General features: G+C 37.2%; 2 protein-coding genes across 8 annotated transcripts in view, besides 1 other annotated feature; one reads left to right on the forward strand and one right to left on the reverse strand.

The window, feature by feature from the left end:
* Nucleotides 1–5267, forward strand: part of ABCE1 (ATP binding cassette subfamily E member 1) — a 31214-nt gene extending 25947 nt beyond the window's left edge. For both annotated transcript variants that reach the window (NM_002940.3, NM_001040876.2), the window contains exons 17-18: nucleotides 733–844; nucleotides 3269–5267. In NM_002940.3, coding sequence (NP_002931.2) covers nucleotides 733–844; nucleotides 3269–3316 — 160 coding nt within the window. In that variant the 3' untranslated portion in view covers nucleotides 3317–5267. The remainder of the gene's footprint in view (nucleotides 1–732; nucleotides 845–3268) is intronic.
* Nucleotides 1875–2114: an enhancer, noted in NCBI's record as "active region_21962". NCBI's record gives its function as "activates an Ori minimal core promoter by ATAC-STARR-seq in GM12878 lymphoblastoid cells {active_cell/tissue: GM12878}" and the evidence as "EXISTENCE:reporter gene assay evidence [ECO:0000049][PMID:35858748]".
* Nucleotides 9393–15193, reverse strand: part of OTUD4 (OTU deubiquitinase 4) — a 46940-nt gene continuing 41139 nt past the window's right edge. For all 6 annotated transcript variants that reach the window (XM_047415838.1, NM_001366057.1, XM_011532041.3 and 3 more), the window contains exon 21: nucleotides 9393–14393. In XM_047415838.1, coding sequence (XP_047271794.1) covers nucleotides 13173–14393 — 1221 coding nt within the window. In that variant the 3' untranslated portion in view covers nucleotides 9393–13172. The remainder of the gene's footprint in view (nucleotides 14394–15193) is intronic.

Raw genomic sequence — 15193 nt, forward strand, 5'->3', positions numbered from 1 at the left:
ATGTTTTCTGGTATTGGAGAGCAAGGAATGGAGTTGCCATTTTAATAATTCATCTAAGAAATAAAAGTATTTTGCTGGGCTTCTTCCCTGAATTCCTTTTTTTTTTTTATAAATTGAGAATTACATATTTCTTAAAGAGCTAGGGAAATTTCTTAGCATATGTGATGTTTATTTGTTCATCTAGTGATATCCCACCTTTCTATTTACAAAATTTTAAAATGTTTCACATGTATGTTGTGATTTGGCATGATTTAAGAACTCACTTGGGTAAAAACGATTAAGCATAGAAATTTAGAAAGGAATTGTCACTGAAAACCACTATTAGGAGGACATATTCCCTCCAGTAACAAATTTTTCATATAAATATAACTTTTTAAGATTCTCATCCCCCCTAAAAATGTGCAATTGGAGATTCTGTAATCTACTTATTAATTATCTTCTGTTTTTCTAAAGTAGTACTTCTATCTTAAATGTTTCTTTCACCAGATTAGAAATCCAGGTTAAATTTTTTTTTTGTTTTGCACAAAAATATTACAGCCAAGAAAACTATATAGTCCAAGCAAAGCTATTTCTGAACACAGGATTTGTAATATGCTGTTATTATACTGTTATCCAGATGATTTATGATTGGGGAATTTGAGGTAATAGTAATTCTTAATACCCTTCCTCTCAAAAGGTAGTTACATTTCTGAAGTAAAATTTAATCAAAATTGATTTTTTTTTTTCTCTTAGTCCTCAAACCCTTTTGGCTGGCATGAATAAATTTTTGTCTCAGCTTGAAATTACATTCAGAAGAGATCCAAACAACTATAGGCCACGAATAAACAAACTTAATTCAATTAAGGTATGTAGAAAAGTTGTCTTAAATCATGGATTACTGATCTCAGTATAAACACTTGAAAGGCTATTTAAAAATCAATAACATATGGCTGGGCACAGTGGCTCACACCTGTGATTCAAGCACTTTTGGGAGGCCAAGGCAGGCAGATCACTTGAGGTCACGAGTTTGAGACCAGCCTGGCCAACATGGTGCAACCCCATCTCTACTAAAAATGCAAAAATTAGCCGAGTCTGGTGGCAGGTATCTGTAATCCCAGCTACTTAGGAGTCTGAGGCAGGAGAATCACTTGAACCTGGAAGGTGGAGGTTGTAGTGAGCTGAGATCATCCCACTGTACTCCAGCCTGGGCAAAAGAGTGAGACTCTGTCTAAAAAAATAAAAATAAATTAAAAAACAACCATATTTTATTTTAAAATTCCTATGTTTTTTACATTTTAAGACCTGATGGCATACTTTAGTGTGCGGTAGGCAGCAATTGTAATGTAGCTGTCATTGCTGTGTGAACTCAAGAGCTCTTCCTGTTTTCTCTTTAAGTTGTATCACAGTTGTACTACCTATATTGATTACCACTTAAAATGTCTGGGGAAAGATTACACTAATTCACCATTGTAACAAAGAATTTTTTAAGAATACCTTAACCAATTTCTGTTATATTTTTCAATACATGATTAAAAGGTGTATTTTAGGCCAAGCGCAGTGGTTTATGCCTGTAATCCCAGAACTTTGGGAAGCCAAGGAGATCGAGACCATCCTGTCTAACGGTGAAAACCCATCTCTACTAAAAATACAAAAAATTAGCCAGGCGTGGTGGCATGCGCCTGTAATCCCAGCTACTCGGGAGGCTGAGGCAGGAGAATCACTTCAACCCAGGAGGTGGAGGTTGCAGTGAGCTGAGATCGTTCCACTGTACTCCAGCCTGGGCAACAGAGCGAGTCTCTGTCCCTGCCCCCGCCCCCGCAACCCCCGCAAAAAAAGTATATTTTGAAAGTCTAAACAAGCTCCTGTGATGAGGAAAACATTGTGTCTACTTAATTGACAATGTTTTTTGTCTTTGTAGTTCACAGTTGTGCACCCTACAGTTGATTTCCTCTGTGAAATACAGTATTTGTTTCTTAAAAGGCAAAAATCTTAGTCACTCAGAAACAGAAAGTAAATGAACTCTAAAAGCATTTCTGGGTTGTTTTTTTGGTTTTGGTTTTAGTTGTTTGTTTTTTTGAGGCAGAGTCTCACTCTCTCACCTAGGCTGGAGTGCAGTGGCGTGATCTCGGCTCACTACAACCTCTGCCTCCCGAGTTCAAGCAATTCTCTGCCTCAGCCTCCCGAGTAGCTGGGATTACAGGTGCCCACCACCACACCCGACTAATTTTCTGTATTTTTTTGATAGAGATGGGGTTTCACCATCTTGCCCGTGCTAGTCTTGAACTCCTGACCTAGTGTTCCACCTGCCTTGGCCTCCCAAAGTGCTGGGATTACAGGCGTGAGCCACCATGCTGGCCATCATTTCTGTTTTTAATATCTGCAGTGCCTCAAAGTGTTTACATTTTATCACTCTGTATCCATCATCCTTAATGCTTAAAAGCTTTAGAAGTATGTTATACATACTTCTGCTGTAGCATTTATTTTCATATTTGTAGTCCTAGCTTTGCTGCTAAACCATGAGCTCTTGGAATGCCAGAGGCAAAGTTATCTTGCACGTCATTGTATTCTTAAGCACCTAACAGTATGTCTGGATGCCTTTTTTCTGATTGATATTACTTCTTGGCCAGGATAGAGAAATGGTTAAGTTCTCACATAAAATTGAAGAGTTTTCTCAGTTTTGAAAAGCATATTGGGTAGAAAAGAAGAATTTCTTTGGAAGCATTAAGGACACTTTGTATTGTCATTTTCTTAGACAGACTTATGGTTCAGTCACCATGAGTTATCATTTCTGTATGCCTACTCATCTTAAGATTGTCATACCTTAATCCTAATAAGAGAACAGCTCAACAAGTAGGTAGGTGAGATTGTTACTGGCCAGTATTGGAAAAAACTTTATATATATATATTTTGTGTAGTAGGCAGATCTCAAACTGACAGTATGCTGCATTTTGAATCTGGAGATAAAAGTTGCATTGATGAAAATGGAATTTAATAGTTTTCCTAGAAATAATAACACATAGCAAAATTTTATATATGTGAGGCATCTTATATAAAGGGACTTTACTTGAGTTGGTGCAAGTGAGTCATTCTAGCATTAGGGATGGGGCAGAGGTAGTTATCTTTCCTTTGAGCAGTGGACCCAGGAATATCCAGAAACAGATGGTATGTGCAGAACAGGTTGTACAGGCACTGTTTTAAGCACAGCTAAGTAATACCATGAGTGAAAGTCTACTTTTACCTATAGTAGAATCGTGTTGCTGATTTTTGTGGCTTCTGTTTTCTTTTTTAGGATGTAGAACAAAAGAAGAGTGGAAACTACTTTTTCTTGGATGATTAGACTGACTCTGAGAATATTGATAAGCCATTTATTAAAAGGAGTATTTACTAGAATTTTTTGTCATATAAAACTTGAATCAGGATTTTATGCCCCACATACTCTGGAACTTGAAGTATAATATACTTAATATAACATAAAAAGCCAGTTGGGTTCTAAATTGTAGTTGAAACACAGAAAATGCCACTTTTCTGTTCCTGAAGAGGCTCTTTTGTGCATAATATTCTAAAATGAAGACATTTCAAGCTATACAAATTACTTCCAAGTTTTCATGATGTATGGGAAGATTTTCAGTAGGTGTATTATATTCACGGTACCAAATGCTGACCAGTGTTGCTCCATTTTTTAAATCTTGAAAAGGGTTTCTGTACTTACCTGGTTTGCCAAGTATGCCAGTGTAATGAAACTGCCCTTATTTTAAAAGCCAGTCAAAGATTCCACTGATTGACATTTGATAAATAAACATCAGGATTATGTTTATTGTTTGTTTTCAGTCTTTGCACTATATTACCAGTATATGGTTTCCGAGGAAGATTATCTACTGCAAAACACCACTGTTGGAAAAATAGGTATTTTTAAATTGTTTTTAATCTTTTTTGGTGCTTTTAAACATGTTTAGCAAAAACCAATTCAGTTCCATTCCCCGCAAAAAACCCCTAACTTTACTCTGAACTTTTTTTGTTTTTGCATTCCATGAGGTTCTGTATTCAGTCATTCTCTAGGTAATGTCATTTTTGTACACATATATTTATATAATCACTGATTGAGATTTAGGAAAAAGCATTTCTAAAGAATATTTGCTTCCCTTAGAACTACAGACTCGAAATCTTTAAAGATGGTGCCTAAGCATCTATGTATTTTTTTTAAGTTCCACAGATTTTTCTGTTGGGCAGCCAAGGATTATAAACCACTTCCCTAAAGGCAACATTAATGCAAAAGTCCCCAGATGGCAATACAAAGTATCCCCTGGTACCACATATATTCATTTGTGAGTTTGGATATAGAGCACATTATCTAAACCATTTTGTAGTTCCAAAAACCCATCTAAATTTCTTGAGTTCCTGAATTTTGAACAGGATTACCTGGAGCCTGGAGCCACTTTAAGTTGTACTTCTGACTAAACTGGAATTATGAGTGAGGAAGAGTGTTTACTAAATAAATGACTGGGGCAAGCAAAATTGAGGAGGAAATTAGAAACTGTTTGACAAACTTTAAGAGCTACTTGAAATAACAGAAGTCTTGATTAATATGCAAATAATGGCTAGAAAGTATGGTTTAACTGGACCCTATTATGCCTTTTAAAAATAATTTCAGTAACCCATAAATACATGTTGTAAAAAATTCAAATATACAGAATGGAATAAAAAAATGATCTCCCTTTATTACCCTCCCAAAGGTTACCAGCGTTTGAATTTAATAATGTATATTCTTTCATGCTTTTTTCTGTGCACTTACCTAAGTGTGAATATGTAAAGGGTTTGTTTTGTATACAAATGGGATTATACTAAAATAAGTAATGCCTATTTTTAAGGATAGGTTAAATTTGTGAATGATCATTTCAAATATATTGAATAAAATAAGCAAAAGCTATTGTTATTTACTGATCCTGGATTGTCTTAAAGAAAGTACTTGTGATATAAGAGCACAGTTCTACTTACTGCTAATGACAGAATATGTATTAAACGTATTTTCATGTAAATGAAATCTTTAAAATATGTATCTTAAAATTTTACATAGCAACAGAAAGGCCTACAATTGCTAACACAAGAAAAATACTTATAAAATCAGTATAAAATCAATGCAGATGTTAGCAAAAGAATGAGACTACTTCATATGTCCTAATTGGAAAAAGTCTCAAATACTTAAAAAAACAAAAAACTGGAACAGTTTATTATACTACCATTTTTGTGAAAATATACAAAATATTGAAATAAAGGAATACTCAAGAAACAGATTGCTTTTGACAAGGACAATTTGATCAAAGAATAGACGGGAAAAGGAGACATTTATATATACACATATATAATACCCTTTGAATTTTACACTTTGCATGTGATTATAAATCATTGAAATTTTGGGGGTTTTTTTTTGTTTGTTTGTTTTGAGATGGAGTCTCGCTCTGTCACCCAGGCTGGAGTGCAATGATGTGATATTCACTCACTGCAACCCGCCTCCTGGGTTCAAGCAATTCTGCCTCAGCCTCCTGAGTAGCTGGGATTACAGGCACCCACCACCACACCCAGCTATTTTTGTATTTTTAGTAGAGACGGAGTTTCACCATGTAGGCCAGGCTGGTCTCAACTGGACCTCAGGTAATCCACCCGCCTTGGCCTCCCAAAGTGCTGGGATTACAGGCATGAGCCACCGCGCCCAGCCATTGAAGTTTTTAAATCGTCATTGGATAATAATAGTGGCATCTGTAGCCACTTCTCTCCACATTTGAGATAATACTGGATAATCCATATTTTCTGTGTTCACTTAGTGTAGTCTTAAAGGCAGTGTATTGATGCTACAACTGTTTTTTGCAATTTAGGTTAACCTAATTTTAGACTACAAGCATTCTGAAGTCCAGTCTTGTATCTGTCTTAACACTCAGTATATATAGCATGGTGTCTGGCATGTAGTGGCCTACTGTATTGAAGGAATGAACCTGCATGCCACAGAGAAAGTAGGAAGACTACAAAACTGCTGTGTTGTATAATTTCCTTCATGTTCATCAATATACTTGGATACAGGTATGTCAAGTCCTTAACCCCAGTGCCTAGTCTGCTGTGAGCACTCAGTGAGTGGTTCAGAAGAGAAAGTAATCATTCTGAGTTGGAATGTCAGAAAGGACTACATAAAGGAATTAGGTCCCAGGAAAGAGTAACAGCACCCATCTTACTGAGTTGTTAAAAGGATAAGTGAGATAATCTACCTAAAGCAAAATACATGTCTGGTGAGAGGCAGAAAGGAACATGGGCATTTAAGAGATTAATGGAAGGAAATGATGGATATGGGCAGATTGTGATGAGCTTTCTGTGCCTTCCAGATTGAAGTTAGTTTTTTACATGCTGAAAGTAGTAGGACTTGAAGAGACAAAGCAAGGCCAGTTAGAGAAGCGGAAATATCCAGACAGTAGTTGTTCCGGAGCTTCTACTTTAATTTTTCACCGCTTTGTCTTAATTTTTTTAAGCATTTCTACTCTGTCCACTTAATACATGCAGGTCTAAACTTGGCTGTATACTGTGCTGACTGTTGCTCTTGGAAGATTGTTTCCTTTGTAGTGTTTCAGTTTGTGAGCAGATGTTCAGTGAGGCTGTATCTGAAAATTCTGAGATTTTGTGTGGCAAATATCATTTATCCTCAGCCCTGTACTCACCACCACTACCACCTCCTCTGCCAATGCCCAGTCCCACGTGGTTGGTCATAATTGGTCTAAGACATAGAAAATCCTCTTCCATACTTTCCTAGTCTCTTGCAGTTAAGCCATATGACCTAACTGCAAGAGAGTTCTAGCCAGTAAATTGAAACCTCTTGAGGTTTTTCTAGAAAATACCTCAAGAAAACCTCGTTTTCCTAATAAAGGGAGATTATCATCTGGTACTGCTTCTTGAGGGTGTAATATATGGAGCAAGCATTTCATGCCCAGAAGGTGACACATATAAGGGAAATGCAAAACAAGCTACAAGAATGTTACTCCTGACATTAAAATGCTGCACAACTGCCAGCAGCCACTTCTCTCCACATTTCTTGAGAAATAAATCCCTATTTGTTTAAACCTGGTTAAGTCAAACTGGTTTCCTGTTTGCCATCAAGAAAGGTCTTTTCCTTGAGAGGCTCTCCATTTGCCTTCTGCCAGGGGAGCCAAGTGTGTTACCACCCTGGAACCACTTTTCAGTTTTCCTAGTTTGTGAGTTTCTGGACCTCAAACCTAAATGAATGTGGTAACATTTTCAGTGGTTGTTTTGTTTTTTGCCTTTAAGAAACTGGATCCCAGGCCAAGACAGTTTTGTCTGGGAATTTTTAATTTCACTCCTTTTCGCTGGGGTGACTCTGGCTTTAATGAAAATGTTAGTTCCAGCTCCCAACCTTGCATGTGCCTAAGTATAGGTCTCCCATGTCAATGGTCACTTTATATCTGTGCTTCTGGTTTCTTGTCTCCATTTATAAAAGTATCTTATAAAACTATACAGGACTTAAATGCTTTTACTACTAGTTTGGAAGGATGCAACAAGTAACAAATATATCCCTAGATAGGTAAATTGCAGTAGTTTGTTTTCTATTTGATCTGGAGGTCGTTAGTCCAAAGTCAAGGTTCTCATTTTTTTTAAAAAGAAATTGGCTTACTACACAGAATTTTGTTATCAATCGGTTAACCTGCCAGTTCAGTTAAGAATATTCATAGGGATAGGAGGCCTTAAGAACCACACTCATCTACATTTACATCTTTTTTTTTTTTTGAGACGGAGCCTCACTGTTGCCTAGGCTGGAGTGCAGCGGCACGATTTTGGCTCACTGCAACCTCCGCCTCCCAGGTTCAAGTGATTCTCCTGCCTCAGCCTCTCCTGCCTCAGCTGGGATTACAGGTGCGTGCCACCATGCCCGGCTAATTTTCGTATTTTTGGTAGAGACAGAGTTTCACCATGTTGGTTAGGCTGGTCTCGAGCTCCTGACCTCGTGATCCACCCGCCTCAGCCTCCGAAAGTGCTGGGATTACAGGTGTGAGCCACCACGCCTGGCCTACCATTAACATCTTTAATCTTTGTAATGCTTTTTACTAAATGTGAAAAATAAAATATAATTACAGGAATGTTATGTATTTTTAAAGGATTGCCTCTAAAGCCCCAGTTTCTCTAATGAATTCATTATAGAAAAACCAGTTTCAAAAACTGATGTTTATACCTATGTCTGTCTGTAGCTTTTCTTAGAAAACCCTATTAAACTATTCTGAGGGGTCCACGTTTCATGAAGAACTCACAGATTAAGTTAGGGTGCAAAAGTTTATGAAGGGAAGCTGTGTTTAACTTCCTCTTTCATAGTTACTTACATTCTCATACTATGCCCTAGACCCAGACCTAAGTCTTTGAATGAAAAGGGAAAGTTTAATTATTCAAAGTGAAAAGCAGGCCCTTTGTATCAGACACTTTTTGGAGACCGCTGACTTAATTTGGGTCACTGCCATGCACTTCTGGAGTGACCAATTCTGCAAGAGCCCCCCATCCAGCCACAAACACACCTCTTACTAACCAGCCCCAACACTGGCTTCTCTTATTGACTCCATGGATAAACCCACGGGCATACTGCCAAGAACCTAATGTTTCCTTTCTCCTTCCTTTCTCCCTTTCCCACAAGGTTCTATATTTTACTCAGCTCCTAAAGCAGTCTCAAAAGTTCCACATGCCAACTCTCGTTACCTTTATAACAGCTCATCCTCCTTCCCAGCCTGCTGACCCTGTTCCTAGATCACTCACTTTTCTGTCAAATACTTGAACTGAAAGAGGCTCTTGTTTCAGGTTCGGCCTCCTGAGGAAGCCAGGCTAACAGAAAGTTCATATTGTATGTAAACAAGTATTGACTTGATAATATTCTTTGGTAACTTTTATAAAGAAAAACAGGCTTTAAGAAATTGAGTTTTCAGAGTATAAAGTAAGTATACTTTGTTTTCAAAACACTCAATTTGCTTTCACCTTTAGCCAACATAAATATCACTGAATGCTAAATGTAAAAACCATTAAAAAACAATTTAATCCATATTCTTAGATATTCTGCACATTCCCATTTAGTCATTGCAGAAAAAAAATGGTAGCACTAGCTATAAAATCACTTAAAACTAGACTCAAATACAAGTCCTACCACTTACTAGTTGCATAACCCTAAGCAAGTAACTTGGCCTCAATTTCGTTATATAAACTAGGGAAAATTACACAGTACCCATAGATTATAAATTCTACATGGCTTTTAGTTGCATGTATGAGAATTGTCTTCTAGCTGGAAACATGTCATGGAAATCATTTATTTTAAGGAGTTTACAAAAATTCTCAAGATCTACATGCTATATTACCTGGTTAACCCTGGAACCAAAGAATCACAAGCAGAATCAAGAGACAAAATTTAATATATGCACACAGTTTTATATATAATGCAGCATCACACCATGTAGGGCATTTACTCTTATTTTATACATTCAGATATGTTTGAAACACTTCTTAAGGCTACAAAACAGAACATAGAAAAATAAACAGGAATATATTCAACACTTACAAAAAGTGATATGATAAAGAATATAAAGTACTAGTTTCCTTTTAACACTTCAAAAGATATGTATATATACTTTTTTTTACAAGTAACATCACAAATGATCACATCTTCACATGCTCTTAAAGTATTATTTGTACTCAGTGTAAGGCTATTATCGTTTTTCATACATAAAATTTTCTAGCTCTGTAACACAATGCAATTTTTAATCCATTCAAGTAAGTTCAACCCCAAAGTTGCCGCTTCCCAGCATTAAGACATGCACCCACCCCTCTTCTAAGATTTTCTAAAACTTGTATTTCGGGGAGAAAGACCTCTTTTAAAAAATAATCCCAATTAGTGGGAGAGTAAATGGCTGACATTAGTAGCAAAACCTTAGTTATCTGAAAATAACATATTGGAAATGAGACATTATTAGGATTTTAAACAAACAATAGCATTTAGACATAAAGTAGGAAGCAAAATACAGTAAACAGAAATAGTGTAGCCAAATATGCATTCTCTTCAGCTACACTAGAGTGGACCTTGCTTAGTACCCTTAAGTAAAAGACAAAACATTTACCTCATCTAAAAATGAAGGTAAAACGAAAGAGGCAAAAATAAATATTGCTAGTTTCTAGGATGGCTGAATGTTTTCTAAACCAGAAATGGTTAGAAAGGAACTTTATTGCACCAAGTCAATCATAAGCAAGTTTGCAGTTCACAGGCATTTTAATTCAACCTTGAGTCACAAAGGAAACAACACGCTGCAAGAATACAGTCTGCATTAAATAAGATATATCAGCATTGTGGTCTGGGAAAACCTATGCTTGCCAGGACAAGGCAGGGTCTGAGCTTAGGTCTGCCATGAAAATGAATTTGTGGGTTATCAGTAAACAGTATGAGGACTACACAGATGCCAGCATCCTGCTGCCAAGGAGACATGGGGCAAGAGTTGAAGATTTGAGAGGAAATGAAGAGACATACACAACACCAAAGGGAAAAGGGGGCTGGAATCAAGTTCAGCCAAAGCACCTAACACAAAAAACAGGTGAGCTTTGGTCAGTCTGTTCTTCAAAATATGTATGATCATAATATGGTGAAGTTTCATAATTTCCAACTCAAAAATACAAATGATCCTCAGTTCTATACTTTTGCCTCTATTCTCTTATAAAGAAATATGTCAACATAACAGTATGACATAACAGTTAAAATGAAGGACAAAAGCTTGCTTATCCTTAGTTTGACCTCAGCATAAGGCAAAATCCCCTGGACTAATACATTTAAAAACAAACTTAAAGGAAAAAAAGCGAAACCAACCTTCATGCAAAGATTAATTTTAAAACTATCAAAAGTCAGTTCTTTTATTCCAGAGGTCACTGAGAAAAGTACCATCTGCTAAAATTCTCTTTCAAGCACTTCTTCCATCATATCCTAGAGGTGAGATATGGGAAACAGAAAGCAAATCAGTGTTTCCTTCAGGAGCTATATTCTGTTACTCAATTGAGGTAAGACAAAGTGACAATGAAGATATGAGTAGTATTTCCTTCCAATTTTTAAACATTTTCAGAAGCTGAGATCAAACCCCAGTCAATAAAATGCAGGACACTAGAAGCAACAACTTATTTTGGACTCCTGAGATCAAACACATTGAACTTTCAAATCTGGTGTTTGTATCAAAATGTGATTTTCATTAAAATCAGGTAAGCTAGTCCTACATAAAAAAGCATGAGCTGAAAGTGGAGGACCCTCTATCTTCTCATTCCTTAACTGAGCCACCGATGTTAAGAAAAAAATGGCTTAAGCGGTACCTTCAACAACTATTCTAGTTAAGAAGGTGACAACAAATTCCTTTCAATAGGTTCTCTCAAGAAAAGTTTTCCACACAACCATCCCAGTCTTTACAATTTTTTACCTAGCACCATCATAATAAAATGTTATCTTTCAAAGTGCTCTCTAAAATCCTGTTACATTATCTAAATGCTAATCACTACTCAAATCAGCAGTTACACAGACGTTAGGTAATTAAAACAGCACAGAGGTAAATAACCATTATTACAGTACAGTGGCGATTCACTAGCCCAACTGGCATCCAAACATTCCCATAGGTTATCAGAGAACCCAGAAAACCCATCTGTTTCAGTTTGTCAAATTCAAGTGAATTGTATTTTCTTAAGTAATTTGCTTTACAAAAAAAGAAAGTCACCGCATCTGGTTTTGGCTAGGTATATTACACATGGCATGCAAAGAGAAATTACTACTATGTTATTTGCATAGCACTCAAACTTCCTGATCAGAAGATAATCTCAACATAATAAAAGAGTGGATTTTCACATTGGTATGCACAAATAAAGAATATAAGCTACAGTTATTTTTACAAAATAACACAGATGAATGAATACTGTGTTAATTCAGAGTTCAATCTCCAAATGAGAACAGAGTGCAACATGCAAAGGGAACCTCTAGTGAATACTGCAAAGACTGGAAGAAAACAGAATGTAAGATGTTACCTACCTAAGGGTAACAAGCTATAAAATACAAAGCAAAACCATTTTCTAGCAGCATCCTCTAGAAAAGAACTAGAAGTCACAATCATATTATCTTCTATACAATAGTTCCAGCCCTGACAAGTAGAACATGCAAGTGTAAAGTGAAAGTGATACACAACCAATGGTGCGGGGGGGGGGGGGAGGAAGAAAACAACTCTAGAAACCTGTCAAGCTAAAAATTTTTAACATTTCTTCTCACAAAATATTTAGAATCTGTCAGTGCATTAGTGTTAAAGTGGCATTAAAAAAACTTCTGCAGTTCTAACTGATGCAGATTATTTTCAAAATGCATAGCATCTACATTTCTTTCGAGTAGGCACCATGATATTTACACCAGTGCTAAGAATTCTTGGTGGAAACAGCCATTTCATTGGATTTCCTACTATTCTTCTATGCAATCTCAACAAATACCAAAATTCAAAAATATACCTTATGAATATTAAAAGAACTATATACAACATTGCTAAGACACAGTTAATAGGCTGCCTTATGTGAATATTAAAGAGAAGACATTATTCAAGTTTGACAGATATTGAGATGAAAGGCCTTTGGGTTGGAAGCATTTTAAAAGACAACAGTGTTTTAGGCTGAGAATTGTTTGAGCCCAGTTTATGACTAAGGCATTGCATAATAAAATATACATTTCTATTTGGTGCAACGTTATGTTTGGAATCTATAGTGTGTCAAATGGTATATTTTCTTGTCACTTTAGTAAACACTATAAAGCACACATTTCCAACATCTGAAATCAAACTTATAAACTTATAAGGAAAAAAGCCAAACACTAAATCTATAATGTTTTATATTAAGCTGTTTATAAAAAATACTTTAACAAACTTATCTTCTACTTTTTACGGGGACAGTCACTTGATCAACAAACAGATTCTGAATGAAGAAAACTGGCAATGCCAGGAATTAACCTGCCCCCTTGAACTCATGTCCAAAATGTCTTGTCCAGTATGGGAGTGAAGGTAAGGGGGGCTGGGGAGAGGAAAGAGTTCCAACTGCGGTTTTTACTTTATTGTATTTTTTTTAAAGCCTTCAGAAACATTCCACCTAAGAGTTTCTGTTAGAAAATACTTCGGCAACAACCATCAAGTGTGCTGTCCCCTATGGCCATCTCCCATCCCTGATCTCCTCCTATCTCCCCTAAATGGTCGCCCTCTGACATTTCGATGGTACTGATAACCTTCATCCCGACTTCTGCTTGGCTGTCCTTTCCAGGACTCCTCACTTCTCACATGTTGATATCCACCCCTACCAGAATAGCCCCAATCACTTTTGTACTTCCTGCTTCCATAAGTTTGATTATAGAACTGCTTGGATCTACCACTTCTCAAAATATTAGACACTTCATTTTCATCTTCTGAACTCTCTTCTTTTGGTCTTTGCACTCTGCTATCAACAGAGTTGGCCCCAGGGCTGACCACATCAGCAGCAGTCTTAGGATCTTTTACTTTTTCTGTTTTTTCTTTCAGGCTTTGAATGGTCCTTTTAGGTTCAAGTTCAACAGGCACAGTTTCTCTCTCTCTGTTTAGAATCTGAGTGGGAGGATGAGCCTTTCCCTCTGCTACAGGAGGGATGGAAGCCAATGCCGTATCTGCCTTTCGTGTCTGGGAAGATTGCTCTGTCCGGCCTTCGTCCGGCTTACTGCTCACACTTGCTTCAGGGAGAGAATGTACATGTTCACCCCTGGCTTCTGGAAACTCATCTACTGTTGAAACTGAACCACAATCTTTAGACAGATCCAGATTTTCCAGAGACAGATCCAATTCTCCTTTTTCATCAGAGGGCAGGACAATATTCTGCCTCATTACTGGATTTTCTATGAATCCCTGAAAAGGGTACCCATACCAAACATGAGGAAAGAAAGGAGGTGCAATAGGAACTGGGCCTAAGAATGGATTGGGTCCAAAAGATGGCTGGGGGAACATATTCTTGCCACTTAGTGACTCTTCATAATCAGCATGCAGAAGCTGCCCAGGGGTCTCAGATTCAAGATCAGCCTGGTAAGACAATTGTCCATGACTTTCAGACACCTGAGATGGAGGGATAACCAGAGGTGAAGAAAATGTCGGCGGTCCAATCTCTGGCTGTGGCATTTGACCATTAACACTGGCCTCAGTCTGCATAGGAAAGTGGGCATCAGTACAGGTACAATCACTTTCATTCTGAGCAGCAGGAGCCTCTTGGAACCAGGGATTATGAGGATAAACAGGGACAGGGACCTTTGGGTACATCCTGCAGGCTGCCAGGTAGGCCTGGTGCAGAGGGTACAGGTAAGAATGTGGGGCCCACATAGGACAACTGTATGCCTGAAGAGACAAAAAACAGTTAAATAAACAAAAGAGGAGAAAAAAGAGAGGTTTGGGTGGATATCAATCTACAAGTACTAGGGTCAAAATAAGTTTCTCATGCCTACAAAGACCATATAATCTATAGTCCAAATACTAAATCACTGTGATAACCAACGTGAAAATGAATTACAAAATTCACTGCTTTAAGACTCCATTGCTTGCTCCTGTCCTAAAACCAATCTGAAGTCCTCATAGGTTGATAGGAGATAGTATCTCCATCACTGACTGTTTAGCCAGACCTGCATTCACATTCGGGCTCTACCACTAACTCACTGTGTGACCCCATGCAGGCCAGTTAACATCTGAATTTGTTTTACTGGGAATGTCAGTATAAGAGTAGATGATCTCCAATGTCAGGACTCTGCAATTCTAGGAGCCCCCAAGAGTACTCCGAATGTAAGGATTAAGTTAGACCTCTAATCAGGGAGGGATAATGTTGAAAATGAAATATTCCAAATCCTTCCTCTGCAAGAGTTCAGCTAAAAACCAAAATATGAAGAAAGTATAACCAGCTAATTGGCTAACCAATTAAAATCAACATTAAATACATTAAAATTAAGCAATGCAGCAGATAGTAAAATAATCAAGTTTCTTTTTATGAAAGTGGTCAGCAGGCTAAAGGTAGGGCACTTCGTTTCATAGTTTAACTGTCTAGAACCCACAAAAACTAATCTAGGTCAGGAGAAAACCTAACATTTAACAAGGACAGAGTTCTCCAACCTAAGAAAAGCTATTTCTAGGTTGACCACTTCCCAAAG

This window comes from Homo sapiens, chromosome 4, assembly GCF_000001405.40.
Source record: "Homo sapiens chromosome 4, GRCh38.p14 Primary Assembly".
Taxonomy (NCBI): Eukaryota; Metazoa; Chordata; class Mammalia; order Primates; family Hominidae; genus Homo; species Homo sapiens.